Below are 19,184 nucleotides of genomic sequence, written 5' to 3'. Positions count from 1 at the left end.
CAGGAATATACGTTCTTCCAGGACTTTGTATTTACTGTTCCCTCTGCTCAATATACTGTTCCTTCATTACAGTAAGTTTTCTCAAAAGTGACATTCCTAGTGAGGCCTTTCCTGATTGCCCTTTCTAAAATGTCATTATTTCCCTCTCCAATGCTTCACACTCCCCCTTCCTTGCTTTATTTTTCTGACTTAGTACTAGCTAACATTCTATAGTTTACATATTATCTTAAAGCCTACACTCCCCATAAAATTTAAGTCAGTAATTTTTATGTAATGTATCCTTAGTATCTACTAAATAGTAGCACACAGTATCAGATAATAAGTATTTATTCATGAAAATGACAAACTTTTTTGGTGGGGGAGAGGGAATGCTACATAAGGCAGAAACTGGGTTTAAAAAAATATTTTGTGAAACTTTAAAAAAAAATAGCAACAGTGATTATTTGGACATTGAGTTTATGGCCCATTAAAAAACCTTTTTTAATGTGGTAAAATACGTGTAACAAAAGTCACCATTCTAACTTTTTTTTTTTTTTTGAGACCGTCTCACTCTGTCCCCCAGGCTAGAGTGCAGTGGTACGATCTCGGTTCACTGTAACCTCTGCCTCCCAGGCTCAAGAGATTCTCGTGCCTCAGCCTCCCAAGTAGCTGGGATTACAGGCATGTGTCACCATACCTGGCTAATTTTTGTATTTTTTTGCAGAGATGGGGTTTTGCTATGTTGGCCAGGCTGGTCTCAAACTCCTGGCCTCAAGTGATCCACCCGCCTCGGCCTCACAACATGCTGGGATTACAGGCATGAGCCACCAAGTCCATCCTCACCATTTTTAAGTATACAGTTCGGTAGTGTTAAGTATATTCTCATTGTTGTGCACCAATCTCTGGAACTTTTTAATTATATATATATATATATACATACACACACACACAATTTTTTTTTTTTGAGACAGAGTCTCACTGTCACCCAGCCTGGAGTGCAATGGCATGATCTCAGCTCACTGCAACCTCTGCCTCCCGGGTTCAAGCAATTCTCCTGCCTCAGCCTCCCGAGTAGCTGGGATTACAGGCGCCCGTCACAATGCCCGACTAATTTTTTTTTTTTTTTTTTTTAGTAGAGACGGGGTTTCACCATTTTGGTCAGGTTGGTCTCGAACTCCTGGCCTCATGATCTGCCCACCTTGGCCTCCCAAAGTGCTGGGATTACAGGTGTGAGCCACTGTGCCTAGCCATAAAATTTTAACTCCATACCCATTACCCACCATTTCTCTTAACCCTTACTCCTGGCAATCACCATCTACTGTCATTTCGATGAATATAACAACTCTAGACAACTCATATAAGTACAATCATACAGGATTTGTCTTTTTGTGACCGGTCTGTTTCACTTAGCATAATGTCCTCAAGGTTCTTCCATGTTGTAGCTAGCATGTGTCAGAATATCTTTCCTTTTTAAGGCTAATATTCCATTATATGTATATTATGGCCCACGTACGATTGTTTTTTCATGAAGATGAAGCATGCTCTGCTATAGAATCTAGCTTTTGGTAGTATACTTAGCTATTTTAAAAGAGGTAGAGTACAAGATGTCTGGATAGCAAATCCCAAACTGTGACCCAATTTTTTTTTTGAGATGGAGTTTTGCTCTTGTCACCCAGGCTGGAGTGCAATGGTGCAATCTCGGCTCACTGCAACTTCTGCCTCCTGGGTTCAAGCAATTCTCCTGTTTCAGCCTCCTGAGTAGCTGGGATTACAGGTGCCCTCCACCACGCTCAGCTAATTTTGTATTTTTAGTAGAGACAGGGTTTCGCCATGTTGGCCAGGCTGGTCTCATACTCCTGACCTCAGGTGATCCACCCGCCTCAGCCTCCTAAAGTGCTGGGATTGGCCGGGCATGGTGGCTCATGCCTGTAATCTCAGCACTTTGGGAGGCCGAGGTGGGCAGATCACCTGAGGTCGGTAGTTCGAGACCAGCCTGACCAACATGGAGAAACCCCATTTCTACTAAAAACACAAAATTAGTGAGGCATGGTGGTGCATGCCTGTAATCCCAGCTATTTGGGAGGCTGAGTCAGGAGAATCATTTGAACCCGGGAGGCGGAGGTTGCAGTGAGCTGAGATCGCACCACTGCACTCCAGCCTGGGCAAGAAGAGCTAAAGTCTGTCTCAAAAAAAAAAAAGTGCTGGGATTACAAGAGTAAGCCACTGTGCCCAGGCTGCTTAGAAAACTTCTAACCAATGTATTCTGAAAGTAATTCTTTTCTATGGACATATAATGTATCTTTGCTTAATTGACTTAATCATTACTTACAATCCTAAATGAACTTTTTTTTTTTTTTTTTGAGACAGGGTCTTGCTTTGTTGCCCAGGCTGGAATACAGTGGTGGCATGATCATAGCTCACTGCAGCCTTGACTTCCTGTACTCAAGTGAACCACCCACCTCTGCCTCCTGAGTAGCTGAGACTAAAAGCATGTGCCACCATGCCTGGCTGATTTTTAAAAATATGTTGTAGGCTGGGCGTGGTGGCTCACGCCTGTAATCCCAGCACTTTGGGAGGCTGAGGTGGGCGAATCACGAGGTCAGGAGTTTGAGACCAGCCTGGCCTACATAATGAAACCCCGTCTCTACTAAAAATACAAAAATTAGCTGGGCATAGTGGGCGCCTGTAGTCCCAGCTACTCGGGAGGCTGAGGCGGGAGAATCGCTTGAACCCGGGAGGCAGAGGTTGTGGTGAGCCAAGATAGCACCACTGCACTCCAGCCTGGGCAACAGAGCCAGACTCCATCTCAAAAAAAAAAAAAAATTTGTAGACAGGGTCTCACTATGTTGCCCAGGCCACAACAAACATTTTTAAAGTAGGACAAAAGGTTCCAAGAGAGAAATTTTATTGCCCCAAAACACAAATTAAAACTTATTAGAATTGTTGTTTTCTTCTTAACAGAGACCAAAATTCTAATCTCTGGTAGTAACTGAATATGTGATAACATATTCAACTCCGGCCCTGTTTCCTCATCAATGACAGGTTTTAACTGGATGCTTGTAAAGGTGTCTTATACTCTATACTTTGGGTTATTTTCTATATTCATATTCAGAAATTTTAAAACTTCATAGTCTCCCAAGAAAATAGTTAAAACACCACCACTACCCTAACCAAAACACAGACATAAGCTTCATTGGGAAGAAAGCTTCATCCTGATTACAGAATAAATGCAAGAAAGCTATGAAGCAGTAAGCTCCATATCTAAAAAGAAAAACTTATCTGAGATTTAATTAAAATTTTTTTAATTTACAAAAGATATCATATTTTTCCCCCCACTTCAGGAGCTCATCTATAATGTTCTATGCCTAAAATTCCTTTTAAAAAGAAAAAAAAATGTTTGGGTCATGGGCAAGAATCAGGAAAAATATTTTTAAATGCTGAAAAAGGTCATTACATTAACTGTGGGCGTATCACTGCCCTCATTCCTTTATTTTTCAGTCTAATATGACCTTAACATGTAACAGCATGAGTCCCAGCAAAAATGAGAAACTAAAAGAAAAATAATCCAACTTGTAATATTTATCCAGAAGTATCCTAAATTATTTTCAGTAGCTAATTAGCAAATCCTTAGGTGTTTTATTAACGTAAAATATATAAAATCATTATGAGGCCGGGCGTGGTAGCTCATGCCTGTAATCCTAGCACTTTGGGAGGCCAAGGTGGGCGGATCACGAGGTCAGGAGATCGAGACCATCCTGGCTAACATGGTGCAACCCTGTCTCTACTAAAAATACAAAAAATTAGCCAGGCATGGTGGCGGGTGCCTGTAGTTCCAGCTACTGGGGAGGCTGAGGCAGGAGAATGGTATGAACCCGGGAGGCGGAGCTTGCAGTAAGTGGGGATCACACCACTGTGCTCCAGCCTGGGCGACAGAGCGAGTATCTGCCTCAGATAAATAAATAAATAAATAAATAAATAAATAAATAAATAAATAAAATAAGATAAAATAAAAATAAATAAAATCATTATGAAAGTCCACATAAGGGGCTTTAATGCCATGTATTCCACATGTATACTACTCTATTAAACCCCATCTGTAACTCTGTTCTATGTATCCTTGACATGTTTCTGATAATCCAACTGCATTATCTATACACTTGCTATAGTTTGAATATGTCCCCCAAAGTTTAGGTGTTGGAAACTCAGTCCTCAAAGCAACAGTGTTTCGAGGTGGGGCCTAATAACAGGTGATTAGGTCATGAGGCCTCTGCCCTCATGAATGGATTAATGTTATCACAGGAGTAGGTTAGTCATCAAGATAGTGGGCTTGTTACAGAAAAGAAAATCAAGTTCAGTCATGCCTTGCTCTCTTGCCCCTCTGCTTTCTACTACAGGATGATGCAGCAGAAGGCCTTGCATCAGAGGGCCTTCTTGTGAATGCTTGTAAGCCATCTTATACCAGATGCAGGCCTCTTGACCTTGGACTTCCCAGCCTCCAAAACTAATAAATGTCTTTTCTGTATAAATTAACCAGTCTGTGGTATTCTGTTATAGCAACATAAAATGGACTAAGACAACATTTGACTGTTTAATTAGAAAATAAATTAGATTCACCAATCAATTAGACAAATATCTGGCAAATATGAGCCAGTCATGGCATAGTTGAAGGAGCTTAGGTGTGGATTCAAATTCTAACTGCTAATTCTAAGCTGTGTAACCTTGAGTGGTTCTTAAAACCTCTCAGTCTAAGCTGGGCACAGTGGCTCATGCCTGTAATCCCAGCTCTTTGGGAGGCTGAGGTGGGAGGATTGCTTGAGACCAGAAGCTGGAGATCAGCCTGGGCAACACAGTCCCATCTCTACAAAAAACAAACAAACCTCAGTCTGTTTCCTCATTGGACCATCTATATCACAGGGTTTAGAAAGGTTGCAGAGTTCAGAAAGAAAATATTCGGGATGGGCGCAGTGGCTCACGCCTGTAATCCTAGCACTTTGCGAGGGCAAGGCAGGCGGATCTCTTGAGCCCACAAGTTTGAGACCAGCCTGGGTGACATGATGAAACTCCATCTCAAAGAAGAAAAAATATATATATTCAAAGTCCTAAAACATAGTAAGTACTCAAAAATTATCTATTTCCCTCTCATCGACCTATAAAACTAAAAACACAGATTAAGATTCCTTGTCGACTTACCAAGATCCAAGCCTGTTATATCTAATAGTATTGAATGTATTTTCATTTAAAAAATTAAAAATGTTATACCAATCAACAATATCATATTTTATGATATCTAAATTTATCTTTGCCTCTCAACATATGTACTTCCTATTTTATTCCTTTCCCAAAGTTATCAATGCCCCTCCACTCTTATTTGCCACTCTCATAGGTAATCTATGTTTCCACTACATTGAAATGTTGCCTGAATTCAACAAACTTTCTCACACCTCCATTAATATGTTCTCTATGCCTACAACATCACCCTTTCCACCAGCCTTCCTCTTAATAAAGTAATGTCTTCACGATTAAACTCAGGTACCACCTTTGGGAAGCCTTTACACACTCAAACACTTCAAGTTATTATACACTCATTTTTTTTTTGTATTCCATATTTTACACACTACTTTATCCCTACTAAACAAGATGAGTGCAGAGGCTGGTTCTTATTCATCTTTGTATTCCTAACATCTACTAATTTAATTCCTGCCACACAGTAAATACTCATACGCTTTCAGGAATTCAATAATGCCATGACATAAACAAATAAGTAAACTCCTCAATCCTTACATTATTCTAAAAGCTAAGATCCAAAAGCATTAAGCAACAACATATCATTTTCATGACTTTAAGAATGCCCCCACTGAACTGTACACTTAAAAAAGAGTTAAAATGATTAACTTTGCTACAGATATTTTTACAATTTTTTTAAAGCCCCAGTAATCCAATTTAAACTTTAATTCTCACGTATCCCTTAGTGAAAGAATCCTATTTTCATCAAAAAGGAATTCTACAAGGGATCCTATAGCACAGTTTTACAGGCTCTGGAACCAGAATGTTAAGGCTGGAATCCTGGTTATATCACTTACCAGCTATGTAATCCTAGGCAAGACACTTAATCATTTTGAAGCTCAGTTTCTTCATCTGTAAATAGGGATTATAACAGTACTGGTCTCAAAAAATGACTGTAAAATAATACACATAAAGCACTGTGTAAACACTCTGTTTTCAAATTGGGTTTCATGAAATATTTTGCTTTCATTTTACAAATTGAGCTTTCATGTAAGGTTTTTAAAAAACAAAGAAATCTTTGGTTTAAAATAATTTAAACCAAAGGACATAAGCAAAAGGACAAAGCTAAATGGCACTCTTCTAATGCTTACTTATATTATTAACATCTCCCTCTGCAGATAGCCATTTACTAAATTATTTACTTTGTTGGCATTCCCACTTAATTTAGTCTTGCTTTGCATGTCACAGAAAGGAAAACTCTTAAAAACATAATCTCCACTTTGGGATTCCAAGGCTGTAGAACCACTTCAGCCCAGGAATTCAACACCAGCCTGGGCACACAGCGAGACCCAGTCTCTCCAAAACATTTTTTAAATATTAGCCAGGTGTGTTGGCATGTGCCTGTGGTCCCAGCTACTTGGGAGGCTGAGGTTAGAGAATCATTTGAGCTCAGGAGGTTGAGGATGCAGTGAGCTACGATCGATGCTACTGCACTCCAGCACAGGAGATGAGCGAGACTCTGTCTCAAACAAATACAATCTCATCTCTAATCATGATAAAAACTGATTGAGGGTAACGAATTTTGGGCTGATACTGAAAATAGATGACAAATTTCCTAGTTGCCACTGAGTCAGGTCTAGTTGTTTAACTGAAGTGGTCCTGAACATTACACCCAAACAAAATCAAATCTAAATATTCTTTTTTTTTTTTTTTTTGAGACAGAGTTGTGCTCTGTCACCCAGACTGGAATGCAGTGGTGTGATCTCAGCTCATTGCAACCTCTGTAGCTGGGATTACAGGCACGTGCCACCACATCTGGCTAATTTTTTGTATTTTTAGTAGAGATGGGGTTTTGCCATGTTGGCCAGGCTGGTCTCGAACTCCTGGCCTCAAGTGATCCACCCACCTCGGCCTCCCAAAGTACCTGGATTATAGACATAAGCCACCACTCCCGGCCTAAATATTTATTCTAATGCTAAATTTCAATTCATATTAAAAATAGAAAATTGACTTAAATGCAGAATTTTTTTTTTTTTAAGATAGGGTCTTGCTGTTGCCCAGGTTGGAGTGTAGTGGTCGATCTCAGTTCACTGCAACCTCTGCCTCCTGGGCTCAAGCAATCCTGCCACCTCAGCCTCTCGAGTAGCTGGAACTACAGGTATGCACCACCACACTTGGCTAATTTTTGTATTTTTTTGTAGAGCCAGGGTTTCGCCATGTTGTCCAGGCTGGTGTGGAACCCCTGGGCTCATGTGATCCACCCACCTCAGCCTCCCAAAGTGCTGGGATTACAGATGTGAGCCACTGTATCAGCTAAATGCATTATTTTCGAAGGCTTTAAATAGAAAAGTTAAAGACTGAGACAGGTTGATTGTCATTACCATCTACTTTGCAGAGTTGTCACAGGATTTCGAAAGAATATGCTCAACATACAGTAGTAAGTGCTTAACTAAATGTAGCTTTCCCTCTCATACCAGTCACCTCCAGCACCTCTTTTCTGCTTTCCCAAGAGCTTACAGTCATTTAAACTTTCCCATGACCAATAGGCTTCTCCAGACCTCCTCAGATTATTTTGCCTTAAATAATCTCCAATACTGTTCTCTAATCACCTTCAATACCCTTGTGACTTTTTTCATTCATTCAACCTACCATACTGTATTACCATCACCACTGTAATTTTATTGCCAGTCCTTGGTTCAATTAAATTAACATTTTTTGCATATTTATATTTGTAGTATTTATTATATGATTAGCACCTTATTAATACAAGGTTAATATTAATTTATACCCTTTACCTTCAATATGGCCCTTCCTTTGCCTTAGAAATTTTAAAATATATTCCTCTGTTATTAGGCTATCTCACTGTAGTTATTTTATGTTCTCTCCCCTCAAGCCTTCACTCCTAACTTCCCCATTCTTACCTAAGGACAATTTGTTTTCTGGGATTTTCCTGCTGAAATTCACTAAATAACCATCTTTTCAGATGGAAGCACTATATCTATCTTTGTATCTATCTCTTCTTTCTTCTAGCTATTCTTAAGAGAAGAAAACATGGCTCTTTTCCAAAGATAGATCCTTTACCTCAAAAAAAAAATTCCATCTAGCCTTTCAAAAAGACTTACGCCCTCCCACAGCACCTCCTCCAGGATCTTTAACTGCCCCTTTGCAATTGCCTGCTTCTCTTCTGACTTTGAGCATCAGCAGACCAATCTTCCCTACCTTAACACAAATGTAAACCAAATCATCCTATTTCTATTCTTCCATTCAATGCCAAATATTGAAAATAAGTGATCTGTTGCCTCCATTTTCTAAATACCCATTTACTTGTTAACTTCTTGTACTCTGTAGTTTGTCCCCATAAATGTGTACTTTCAAAGGTAACTAACCTTCTAGACAAATCCAAATGGCTCTCTCAATCCATCTTTGACCACTAAAAAAAGTTATCATCACTAACCAAAGTGACAACAAAAGCTAAAGACAAATCTATCTTCTATATGAAGCCTCTAATTGTCCATGTGTCCCCATTTATTACATACCACTTAGGCTTTGAGTGCTTTAAGAATCTTCTGAACTCAGTTCAATTAACCCCTTCGCCTCCTGGAAATTTTCTTTGCTTCTATGAAACCATACCTTGAATTTTCTTCCCTATGGCTTTCCTTCCTTTTCTGATTCATTTAAAGTAGTTTAATACGACATGTAAGTTTCTACGCAGTGATTTCATGTCTACCAAATCCATTTCATTTCAAATTAAATCAAACCTGACACATCTTCACTACTATATCCTCCAAATGTGATTTCACTCAAATCTTTGAGAAATTCAAATCTGCTTTTCTTAGAATACTACAAATTATTTAACATTTTTTTCTTACTAATGGTATAAAATAAAGATATAAAGCCCAATTTCCCACTACCTTAAGATCATTTAGCCTCTTAGTGCCCTTCTTGAAGTCTTCAACCTAAGGTATACTAAGAAAGTAATAGCTTAAGTCTCTACTTAACGATGTATATCCCCTATCAGTAGCCCTGGGAACTTTGGTCATTACTAACAAATTTCTATTAATCTCAAAAATCATACAGATCTTTGTCATATTTCCCCCCCTCCTTCCCCAGGAACTTATTTCAAAGTATTCTGTGCATTCCACCTAATAGCTATCAAGTATACCTTGATAAAAGTTCTCTTATTCTCTATCATTCAATAAAATTTCTTTGATTAAGGTTTAGATGTATATTTCATCATTCTTCACACATCATATTCCCTAAAGTTCATTCTATTTTAAAAACTAAACTTTTTTAAGGATCAAGAAAAGACACTGTGTGTCTTGCCATTTATCTTCAAGAACATAAAACTGGGTTCTGTTAGAATCTACTATAATCCAACAGGTACAACATGGGTACTCATTTTTGAACCAAAAATGTTTATATTTGTTATCTCACATTCCTTTGTACTGTATCTCATTTAGGCAGAAATAGCTATTCATCATCAAATACTCATCTTCAGAGATTAAAGAAGAGCACAAAATTTTTCAAATATAGCAGCATTTTAATCAAATCATACAATTAAATGTGAAGTAACTGGCGCTCTCACACACTGCTAAAAGGAGTAGAAATTGGAACAACAAATTTGAAAAACCATAAGGCATTACTGCTAAAGTTGAACATACATATTTCTATGACCAGTTTTTCCACTTCCAGAAATACAAACTTGACAGAAACGTGGGCACATGTGCACCGAAAGATGGGTGTAGGAATGTTCATATCAGTATTATTCATAATAGTGCAAAACTAAAAACATCCATCATACATTAGAATCAACAGCAATGAGAATGAATAAACTCTTCCTATATAGAAAAATACAGATTAGGCCAGGCACGGTGGCTCACACCTGTAATCCCAACACTTTGGGAGGCCGAGGCGGGCAGGTCAGGAGGTCAAGAGATCGAGACCATCCTGGCCAACATGGTGAAACCCCGTCTCTACTAAAAATACAAAAATTAGCTGGGCGTGGTGGCAGGTGCTTGTAAGCCCAGCTACTTGGGAGGCTAAGGCAGGAGAATCACTTGAACCTGGGAAGTGGAGGTTGCAGTGAGCCGAGATTGCACCACTGCACTCCAGCCTGGCGACAGAGCAAGACTCTGTCTCAAAAAAAAAAAGAAAAACACAGATTAGTCTCACAAAAATAATGTTACTCGAGGAACACTTATTATATGATTTCATTTAATAAAGTTCAAAAATAGGCAGACCTAATCTATGGTTTTTAGACATCAAGATAATGGTCACCCTATTATCTTGGGAATACAGAATACAGAAAGGGAATAACTAGAAAAGAATATAAGGAAAGCTTTCAGGGTGCCAATAACAATACTGATTTCAATAAACACTCACCAAAGCAGAATAAGTGTGTTCATATATTGGAATATGTAGTGAATTCACTAAATTATGAAACCCATGAAATAAAGCATTCCCTAATATTAGAAACCCCGGGCAACTCAGTTTCTCTGTACCTCCGTTGCTTCAACTGTAAAACAGACTACACCAAGTCTGTAATCTTAAATTCCTAGATTTTTTTTTTTTTTTTAGGAAAAGGTACTCAGTTCCTTAAATGGAAGAAAAAAATTTTAGTGACTATTTGATTGCCATTTTAAAGATAAACATTGCAAAGACAGAATCAAAAAATATCATTTTTTCCTTCCTCTTACAAAGGAACAAGATACATCAGCAGTTATCTTTCAGAACCATAGTTACTGATTTCCAATAGAATAAAATTGAATATTCTTTATACTGCTACTGATTAGTAAGTAAACTAATATGAAAAGACCACTAGACAAGAAAGGTCATCTTTTTTCTGGTTTCAAACTATGTCCCTTTATAGCAATAACAATGTTTAAAATTACTAGTTTTAAAATGTTTTGAAATATAGTAAAAATCAAACAAAAACCAAACTTAATATTTGCTTGGTTAACTTCATAATGCCAAATTGTAACAGAAACATCAGTATCTGACAGCTATTTTAGAAATAATAGCTAGTAATGACTGAACTATAACTTCTACTTATAAGCACCATTAAATGAGAAGCCTCATTAAAAATTATAAATTATCAGGCTCCCTTACAAGCTAATAACTGAAAAGAATGCTACTCTCCTGAGAATATCAAGATTATAAAACTTTTGTATTCTGCACCATCACCCAATACTATATATATCCATTCAATATTATATTGATTTATTTCTCTCAAATTTTCATATTTAATATAATCCATTATGAAAATATTCAAATAAACTTTCAAAAACTGAAGTGCATTGTTAAAAAAGATCATTTCACCAGTTTTTCTAACATAAATATGAAGCTTGCTTCTTCCTCTCAAATAACACAATATGAATATGTCATTGTATGGTATCACACTTCTAGCTAAACCTATTCTAAGGCGCTTATCATTCAGATAAAGGTAGACTTCTTCTGAAGCACTTGTCCAGGGATGGTGTTCAAAACTTGTTTTCTTGCCAAATCTTTCCTTTCCCTCATCTTCTTCATCTCAGTAAATCACACACCACTATCTATCTAGTTTCTCAAGCCAGGAACCAGGAAATCATTTTTGACACTTTTCTTCTCACATCCAATCCATCATGAATCTGTCAGTTGTTCCTCCTCCACACCTCACCATCTCCTCTCTAAAATATATGTATAATCTGGCTACCATCATGTTTTTCCTGGACTACTGTAGTATTACAATATCTTTACTTTCACCCTTGCCTTTCTCCAATCCATTCTCAAAGTAGCATTTTTAAAATGTAGATTAAAGCGTATCACTTCTCTAATTCAAAATCTTCAACGACTGCAATGTCTTTAGTAAAACCTGTAAGTCTTTAATATGCCCCACAAGGCCCTGTATAATCTGCTTTCTATCTCTCATTTCAGCTCATATGGTTTTCTGCCTTATTATGCTTCTGCCATCCTGAACTTTTCATTTCTTTCAAATATTAAGTTCTTTCCTGTGTCATAGCCTTCAAACATATTTTTCTCTCTTCCAAGAAACTCTTTTCTCTCCTGACCTGTCTTCTTATTCTGTTTCCACTTAGAATCACCAACTGAGGGAAGCCTTCTCTGAGAATACAACATTAATTTCTCCCCATTTTCTCCACCATAGCACTCTGTTCTTTTATTTCACTGAACTGATCATAAGTTGTAATTTTCCATTTGTTTATTTACTTGTTCTTTATCTGTTTGCACTGTTAGATGGTAGGTTCCATGAAGGCAGGGATCACTTATTATGCACTTAATACATATATCATAAATTAAGGGAGCACTTCATAATATATACATTTAATGAATAAATGGATGTGAATGACTTTGAGTCCAGAGAATAAATTACAGTTCAAAGTGGTTTCCCCTTCTTTGGGTCTCCCATTGTCACTTGATCAGCTTTCCAACTGTTTCTAAAAGAAAGGAATAAAAATTGTTTCTGAAAGCTTAAAGACAATACAGTAGAGGAAATGTCAGGAAGTTGTACATGGTATGCCAAATAAGTGCAACAAATAATTATACTAAGATCTCATGGGAAGGAGAAATCCCTAAGGGCTACAAGGACAAGATACGATTTTATTCACAAGGTGGAATTTGACCTGAGTATTCACAGACTGGTAAAATTCCAAGAGGTGGAAAAGTAAGGGAGTGAAGCCCAAATAAGGAAGTAAACAGAGGCACAAAGTGCTAGGGAACAGTTATAAAACTGGAATGTGGCACTTTAAATTTACAACGTAAATAAGTGTAAAAAAGCTAAATCTTATATAAGAAATCTATATCCCACGTTAAGACAACTTCAAAGAATTTGAAAGGTTAAAATAACTCTATCTCATCAGTATCCATAAATCTCTTCTGACTCCAATCTTTGGCTTCTGAAGTTTTCCAAGCACTTACAACATGCTTCCATTAGTTTTTACTCTGACCAACTGCCTCAAGTTTCCATATTCTTACCTGTGTTTTTTATTCACTCATTACCCGATGAAATTTCCCCAGTAGATTAATTCATAGTTTTTCTTTATAGACTCTCTAGGATTTCATTTTTCTTCTCTGTTATTTACGGAGGTAAGCTTTTTTTTCTATGACATTTCGATCAATAAACACATCTTTAGAAAATCTTAACTTTTCATATGTACCAAAATTTTGTTTTACTATTGATAGATGCAATAGATTTTACTTTAAAATCTGTATTTCTACTTCAGTTCTTGCCTCTTATATTCATATATCGAGCCCCTCCTTCAGCTCTATCCTGTTTCCAGAGGTAAACCAGGAAGGTCTAGCACAGTGCCTTGTAGAAAGCATTCGGTTGCATTAGATAAGAAGTTTGTAATTAAAGTTTCTAAAGATACTTCCAAGTTGAAAATTCTATGGTTTCCTTAATCTTATCTTGTCACGGGCTTTTTCCATGGACACCGTTTTCTATCTGTATTCATATCTGCCCACCCCATAAGTTTTTGATTTCAGAGGATAGACCTCATAGGGTACTTAGAATCCTACAATAGTAAAACTGGAGGAAACAAAGTTTTACACAGGAGGAAACTAAGGCTCACGGATGTCAAGAAACTTAATATTATCTACACAGTTAAGTGACAAAGTCCCGATTCTCTCTAGCCAGCACTCTATCCAAGAAGAGGATTTTACTGGTTATAAAAGCATCATAATTTTTTTTTTCTTAATAGAGACGGGATGCAGTCTTAATAAGTTGCCCAGGCTGGACTTGAACTCTTGGCTCAAGTGATTCTCCTGCCTCAGCCTCCCTATTAAGAGCCGCCCCCGATTAAAGTAGCCTGCTCATACACCTTACTTAGTATGTTTTTGACTAGCATTGCTTTTATCTGATGTTATTTCCTGTGCCTTTAGGATATCATCTCCTGGTCAATTAATCACAAGGGTTTTTTGTTGTTGCTGTTTTTAACTGCAATACTATACATACTTACCTGAAACTGTTCAGGAATGACAGTTACCCTTAATCAAAACTGGGAGGCAACCACTTTTCCCAATGCACTTCAGGTCTGTAATACAGACTTCACGTCTACATTATATGGTCTATAGTTTATAGGAAACTCTCCAAGGACAGAGACCTGCCAATACTTTGTGGTAAACTATAACTACATAACGTGAATTTTTAAAGCAATAGAAGAAACGGCCGGGCGTGGTGGCGCGCACCTGTAATCCCAGCTACTGGGGAGGCTGAGGTTGGAGAACTGCTTGAACCTGGGAGGAAGAGGTTGCAGTGAGCCGAGATGGCGTCACTGCGCTCCAGCCTGGGTGACAGAGCGAGACTCCGTCTCAACACCAAAAAAAAAAAAAAAAAAAAAAAAAAAGCAGAATTAGAAGAAATGGAAAGTCTTCGAAGATACATAATACAGACAGAACTTGCTTCGAGCAATAGAAGTCTTTTATTTAATACTTATCAAATATCGAACGTAAGGCTCCATGTGGCCTGTTGTTACAACACAGCATCTCTAAATTCACGTTCTGTAAACCCAAGGGAAAAGAAACACTATGATCATCCTTTTGCATTGCAAAAAACAAAAACAAACTCCTCCCTCTGCAATGCAGAATCCTCCTTTAAGTTCAGCTTTTGTATATTCAAGTGTTTGCAGACCTAGTGGTTCTTTTAAAACTACTTCTACAGTTATCTAGAGTCTAGGGAATGGGTAACATTACACAAGATAAGCCTTCTTTTCGTTTAAGATCATAGCTGGTTAAGTAGAACTGGAGATTTTAAGAACTGGAAAAAAGGAAAAGGTGAAAAGTAGCATACAAAATTGAGAAACTAAATTCTGACGGTAATTTTATTAATGAAAATAAACTTTATTTAATACAGGGGAATTCTTAGGTATGAATATTTCACATAAATAAATGTCACAATAGCGTCAAATCCCAGACTTTCAGGAAAGTAACTGTAGCACTGTTAATATCACAACAACAACAACAAAATTCTCATCTACTTTGTTCTGAAAAGTTTTATTTTTCTTAAAAAAGAAAAAAAAGCAAACCACCCCCCCCAAAAAAAATTTTTTTTAAAAATAAAAATAAGAACAAACAGAAACCAGTCTGAGCTGGCAGCTGTGACAGCCAGTGAGACACCCGGGCTTTCCGGGTAGTGCTTGGCTTTGGGCTGGATGTCCACGCAGAGAGCCCTGGAGCCATCCCGCAGGTCCCACACCCAGGTACCCAGAAAATGACGGCGGCCGCACACACGGGGGCTGGCGGGGTCCGGGCCACGCTGCAGACGGGGAGAGGCACTCGGGGTGAAGGATCGCGGGGAAGGCACTGCGGTCGGAACCGAGAGGCAAGGCCTGGGAAAGCGCCGGGGACGTCCCGTGCTCCGGGACGTCGGGTGCCCGCGCGGGACGCCCTGTCATGACTCACGGAGGCGAGAAAGCACGGGCAGGGAAAGAGGCTGCAGGATGGAGGGAAGCCCGACCGTCGGGAGGGAACCCAACCCGGGGGAGGCCCCGACCTCGCGCGGGACGGGGAAGAGGGCCCGCCTTCCCACGCCCTGGCCGCCCGGCCCTCACCTCCACACGACGCAACAGGCGCGGCTGCCGTGTCCCGACCCCGGGGGCTGTGGGCCGGGGGGCGGGGGCAGCAGCCCGCAGCCATGACAGGCGCGGGGCGGGCCGCGGGCGGGCTGGGCCGCACGTGCAGGCAGCGCCCCCTGCCCGGCCTCCCCGCGGGCCCGCCCGCCCGACCCCGGCCCCGGGACCGGATCCCTCACCTCAGGCGGGGGCGCCGCCCCGCCTGCCCCTCCCCCCTCCCCCCACCGGCCGAGCAGCGGCGGCGGCGGCGGCGGCGGCTGCACGTACTCACCGCCGCTCGCTGACTCTCGCGCTTCGCCATGACTGAGGCGCCCCCGCCGCCCCCCGCCTCGACTGAGACTGACACTCGCGGCTGGCCGGGCGGGGGCGGCCTCAGGCGACCACCCGTCTGACACGACCCGCCCCCGCATCTCCCCACCAGTTGAGCAGCGGCCGCTGCCCCGCGGTGCCCCCGGGCTTCCTCCCCACGCCCGAGGCGGTGGGTGGCAGCGGCGGCGGCGGCGGCACTTACCGGCTGCGCGGCCAGGCCCCCCTGTCAGCGCGGGGCAGGGAGGGAGTGGAGGGAGGAGTGAAGGGGCACCGCCTCCCCCGCGCCGCCACGCACCCGCCTGATTGGCCCAGTTCACTCCCCCAGCGCGACCCCACCAGCCCCTGCGAGCGGCACTCCGGCAGCACCGGCGCGCTATTTGCATATTTGTGCCCGCGCCGCTGATTGGCCCGGGCGCGGAGGGGCGGTCGTGACCGCCGCCGCTCCTGCCGCGGCTCCAGCCGCGTCGGGCTGCCTAAGAGGGAGCGTCCCCTTCGCCGCTCCCCTTCCCTCCTGGCGCGGCCCGACCCAGGGCGGAGGGCGGTGCGAGGCGGGGTCGTTGCTCCGCTCCAACATGGCCCCGCCGCGCCGCCGACCCAATCGCTGGCGCGGTTACTCCCGGAGCCCTGGGCGGCCTCGGGGCGGGGAAGGCTTGGGGCCGGGCGCCCTCTGGCCGGAGCGCGGGGCAGTGCAGTGGTCCGGGCTCCCCCGGCAGCCCCGCCGCGGCCGCCACGTCAGGCCGCGCCCTCACGGCGGCCTCTCCCCTCGCGCCGCCCGCCCCGCGGCCCCGCCGCCACGTCAGGCCCCGGCAGGGCACGCCCCAGCCGCGAGCTGACCAGTGGCGGGGTCGGCGCAGAGGTCACTCACATGCAGGGCATCTCTCGGGCAGCTCGGGTCCGCCGAGGAAGGGCGAGAGTTTCCAAAGACGTCCTTCTTAAGGAGCCGTGGATTTAGTCCCACGTTCTCCTTTCGCGCGGAGACCCGGGTGTCACGCGCCCGTGCTGTAGAATCGGGAGCACGGAGCGTGTCGCGATGATGCTGCGATTGAGCCCAGGTGCCAGCACCTGCAGTAGCCGGCGCCCGCCGCGGAGACCCAGCTCCACGCCGCGAGCTAGGGGAGAGCGCGCACCTAGCCTGCGGTTGCAACCCTGTCTTCCCGAGGCTCAGGCTCCCGTTCTCCATTGCACAGTTACGAAGGGAGAGAAAAATAAACGCAAGAATTTAAGAAGAGAGAGAGACAGCCGTGGGGGAGGGTGATACTGGTTTAGGAGCAGGGGGCGTACTGGAAAACCTGGGTTCCCTCTCGATCCTTCACGAATTAACTGAGTGACCTACATCAAATCCTAGCGTGTCCTAGGGCCTTGGTTTTGCCTTCTGTAAAAGGAAGAGGCTGCACAAGTTGTCCAAAAGTCCTCCAGCTCTAAAATTCTAAGGGTCTCCTCCTTTCAGGTCCTTAGCTGGCTTTCTACCGAATTAAAAATTTAAAACCCATATGAAAACGTGAGCTAGACAAAAGAATTAAATGTTTGAACTTCGGTCGGCCTACTTTATGTTTGTTCAAAACTGTTGACCATTTCCGATCCAGTGCAGGTGATATTTCACGTTCACAGTTGACAGAAATCTCTTGAATTTCAGCCTCCGCTAAGGAGCGACACTGCGCTTGTTTATGCCTAGCCAGAATGGAATGGCTGCGGTATACACAGTGGTATTTGCCAAGTAATTTCATTCTTTATATTCCCCATGAAGGCCCTCCAGAGTGGATCAGCATAACTCTATTTAGCTGAGATACTGACAGGGCTGGGAAGAAACCCTGCTGAAAGGGCGGTTACAGTTCCAACTTTGATTCCCTGAAGGATACTTATAACAACCACATATTAGACCAAGAATGCACAGAAAGAGTTTATCTCTGGGGCCCCCCACACCACTTATTTGGATAGTGCTTTAGTTTGCAAATTCAACTTGTTGAGTCAAATTTAAGGCCAGTAACATCTCATCTATCTGACATCACAGCAGAATGACATCCCACTTAAATGAAAAACTTGAGCGGCCTCCCCATCATCTGATAGAGAACGTTCGTGTTTTCTTGAATGCAGCCCTCTGAAAATTACTTAGGCTTGGTCATTAAAGAGCAGTGCTATAATTATCAACATTATTGTATGCCATTTTAATCAGTGAATGTTCTCTAAAATATGCAAAATTTGTCCCTATAATAAATGGCCTCTAGGATGCTGGTTTTTGTGTTTTTGTTTTGTTTTGAACTTCTGTTTTTGCTATCTCCTTCCTCACTACTGGGCTGACACTTCTCTATTCTTCTACCTAACAACCTTCTTTCCTACTTTTTTGATGCGTCTATGCCATTATGAACTTGGACATCGATAAACTTTTATTAGCTTAGACTCTCAGGTTTTGTAGAAAGATTTTCTGTGGGGTTCTCCTGTGTTAAGTACATAAGTTCTTGTGACATTTATTTTCACTGGTCAGTGAATGGTGTTCACTTCTGTCTTAAATTTTGGAGGTATTCTCAGTAACTGTGGTTTCTGAATATGGGGACTCTGGGAAAATGTTGCAGAGGTTGGCTCTGAATCTCAGAATTTAGGGGTCAAATTAGTAAATATTACATTTTGCAATTGAAGTTAGCAAGAATCAATATCACGAACAACATCAAAATCTAGCAACACTGGCCTACCATTTCCACCAGGCAATGGGCTGTCTAAAGCCAAGCGGTGGCCACACTCTCTAGGTCCCTCAATCCCACTCCAGAGTAAGAATGTCTCCATTCCGGGCCAGGCGTGGTGGCTCAAGCCTGTAATCCCAGCACTTTGGGAGGCTGAGGTGGGCAGATCACCTGAGGCCAGGAGTTGGAGACCAGCCTGACCAACATGGAGAAACCTCACCTCTACTAAAAATACAACATTAGCTGGGCTAGGTGGCGCATGCCTGTAATCCCAGCTACTCGGGAGGCTGAGGCAGGAGAATCGCTTGAATCTGGGAGGCAGCGGTTGCACTGAGTTGAGATGGCGCCATTGCACTCCATCCTGGATGACAGAACGAGACTCCGTCTTAAAAGAAAAAAAAAAATGTCTCCATTCCTACTCAATGTCTTTCCAATTAAA

At 41.9% G+C, this 19,184-nt stretch overlaps 1 protein-coding gene across 37 annotated transcripts in view, besides 2 other annotated features; it reads right to left on the bottom strand.

Moving 5' to 3' along the window:
• The window catches only part of CHD9 (chromodomain helicase DNA binding protein 9), a 272,507-nt gene that overhangs the window by 180,164 nt on the left and 73,159 nt on the right, over window positions 1–19,184 (bottom strand). For 4 of the 37 annotated variants that reach the window (XM_047434702.1, XM_047434688.1, XM_047434706.1 and 1 more), the window contains exons 1-2: window positions 16,036–16,322; window positions 6,060–6,155 (exon numbers count right to left, since the gene is read on the bottom strand). The exons of 15 other annotated variants lie outside the window; for them this stretch is intronic. The gene's annotated coding sequence lies outside the window, so the exon portion shown is untranslated. Of the gene's footprint in view, window positions 1–6,059; window positions 6,258–14,382; window positions 15,843–16,035; window positions 16,323–19,184 lie in introns of those variants that run through there. 18 more of the 37 variants (XM_047434704.1, XM_047434687.1, XM_047434705.1 and 15 more) reach the window with 7 other exon arrangements.
• Window positions 15,631–15,890: a silencer, noted in NCBI's record as "silent region_7495". NCBI's record gives its function as "represses an Ori minimal core promoter by ATAC-STARR-seq in GM12878 lymphoblastoid cells {active_cell/tissue: GM12878}" and the evidence as "EXISTENCE:reporter gene assay evidence [ECO:0000049][PMID:35858748]".
• Window positions 16,221–16,950: a silencer, noted in NCBI's record as "silent region_7494". NCBI's record gives its function as "represses an Ori minimal core promoter by ATAC-STARR-seq in GM12878 lymphoblastoid cells {active_cell/tissue: GM12878}" and the evidence as "EXISTENCE:reporter gene assay evidence [ECO:0000049][PMID:35858748]".

Source organism: Homo sapiens, chromosome 16 (genome assembly GCF_000001405.40).
Source record: "Homo sapiens chromosome 16, GRCh38.p14 Primary Assembly".
NCBI lineage: Eukaryota > Metazoa > Chordata > Mammalia > Primates > Hominidae > Homo > Homo sapiens.
Note: the sequence above shows the minus strand (reverse complement) of the source record. Positions and strands in the feature narration are given on the sequence as shown.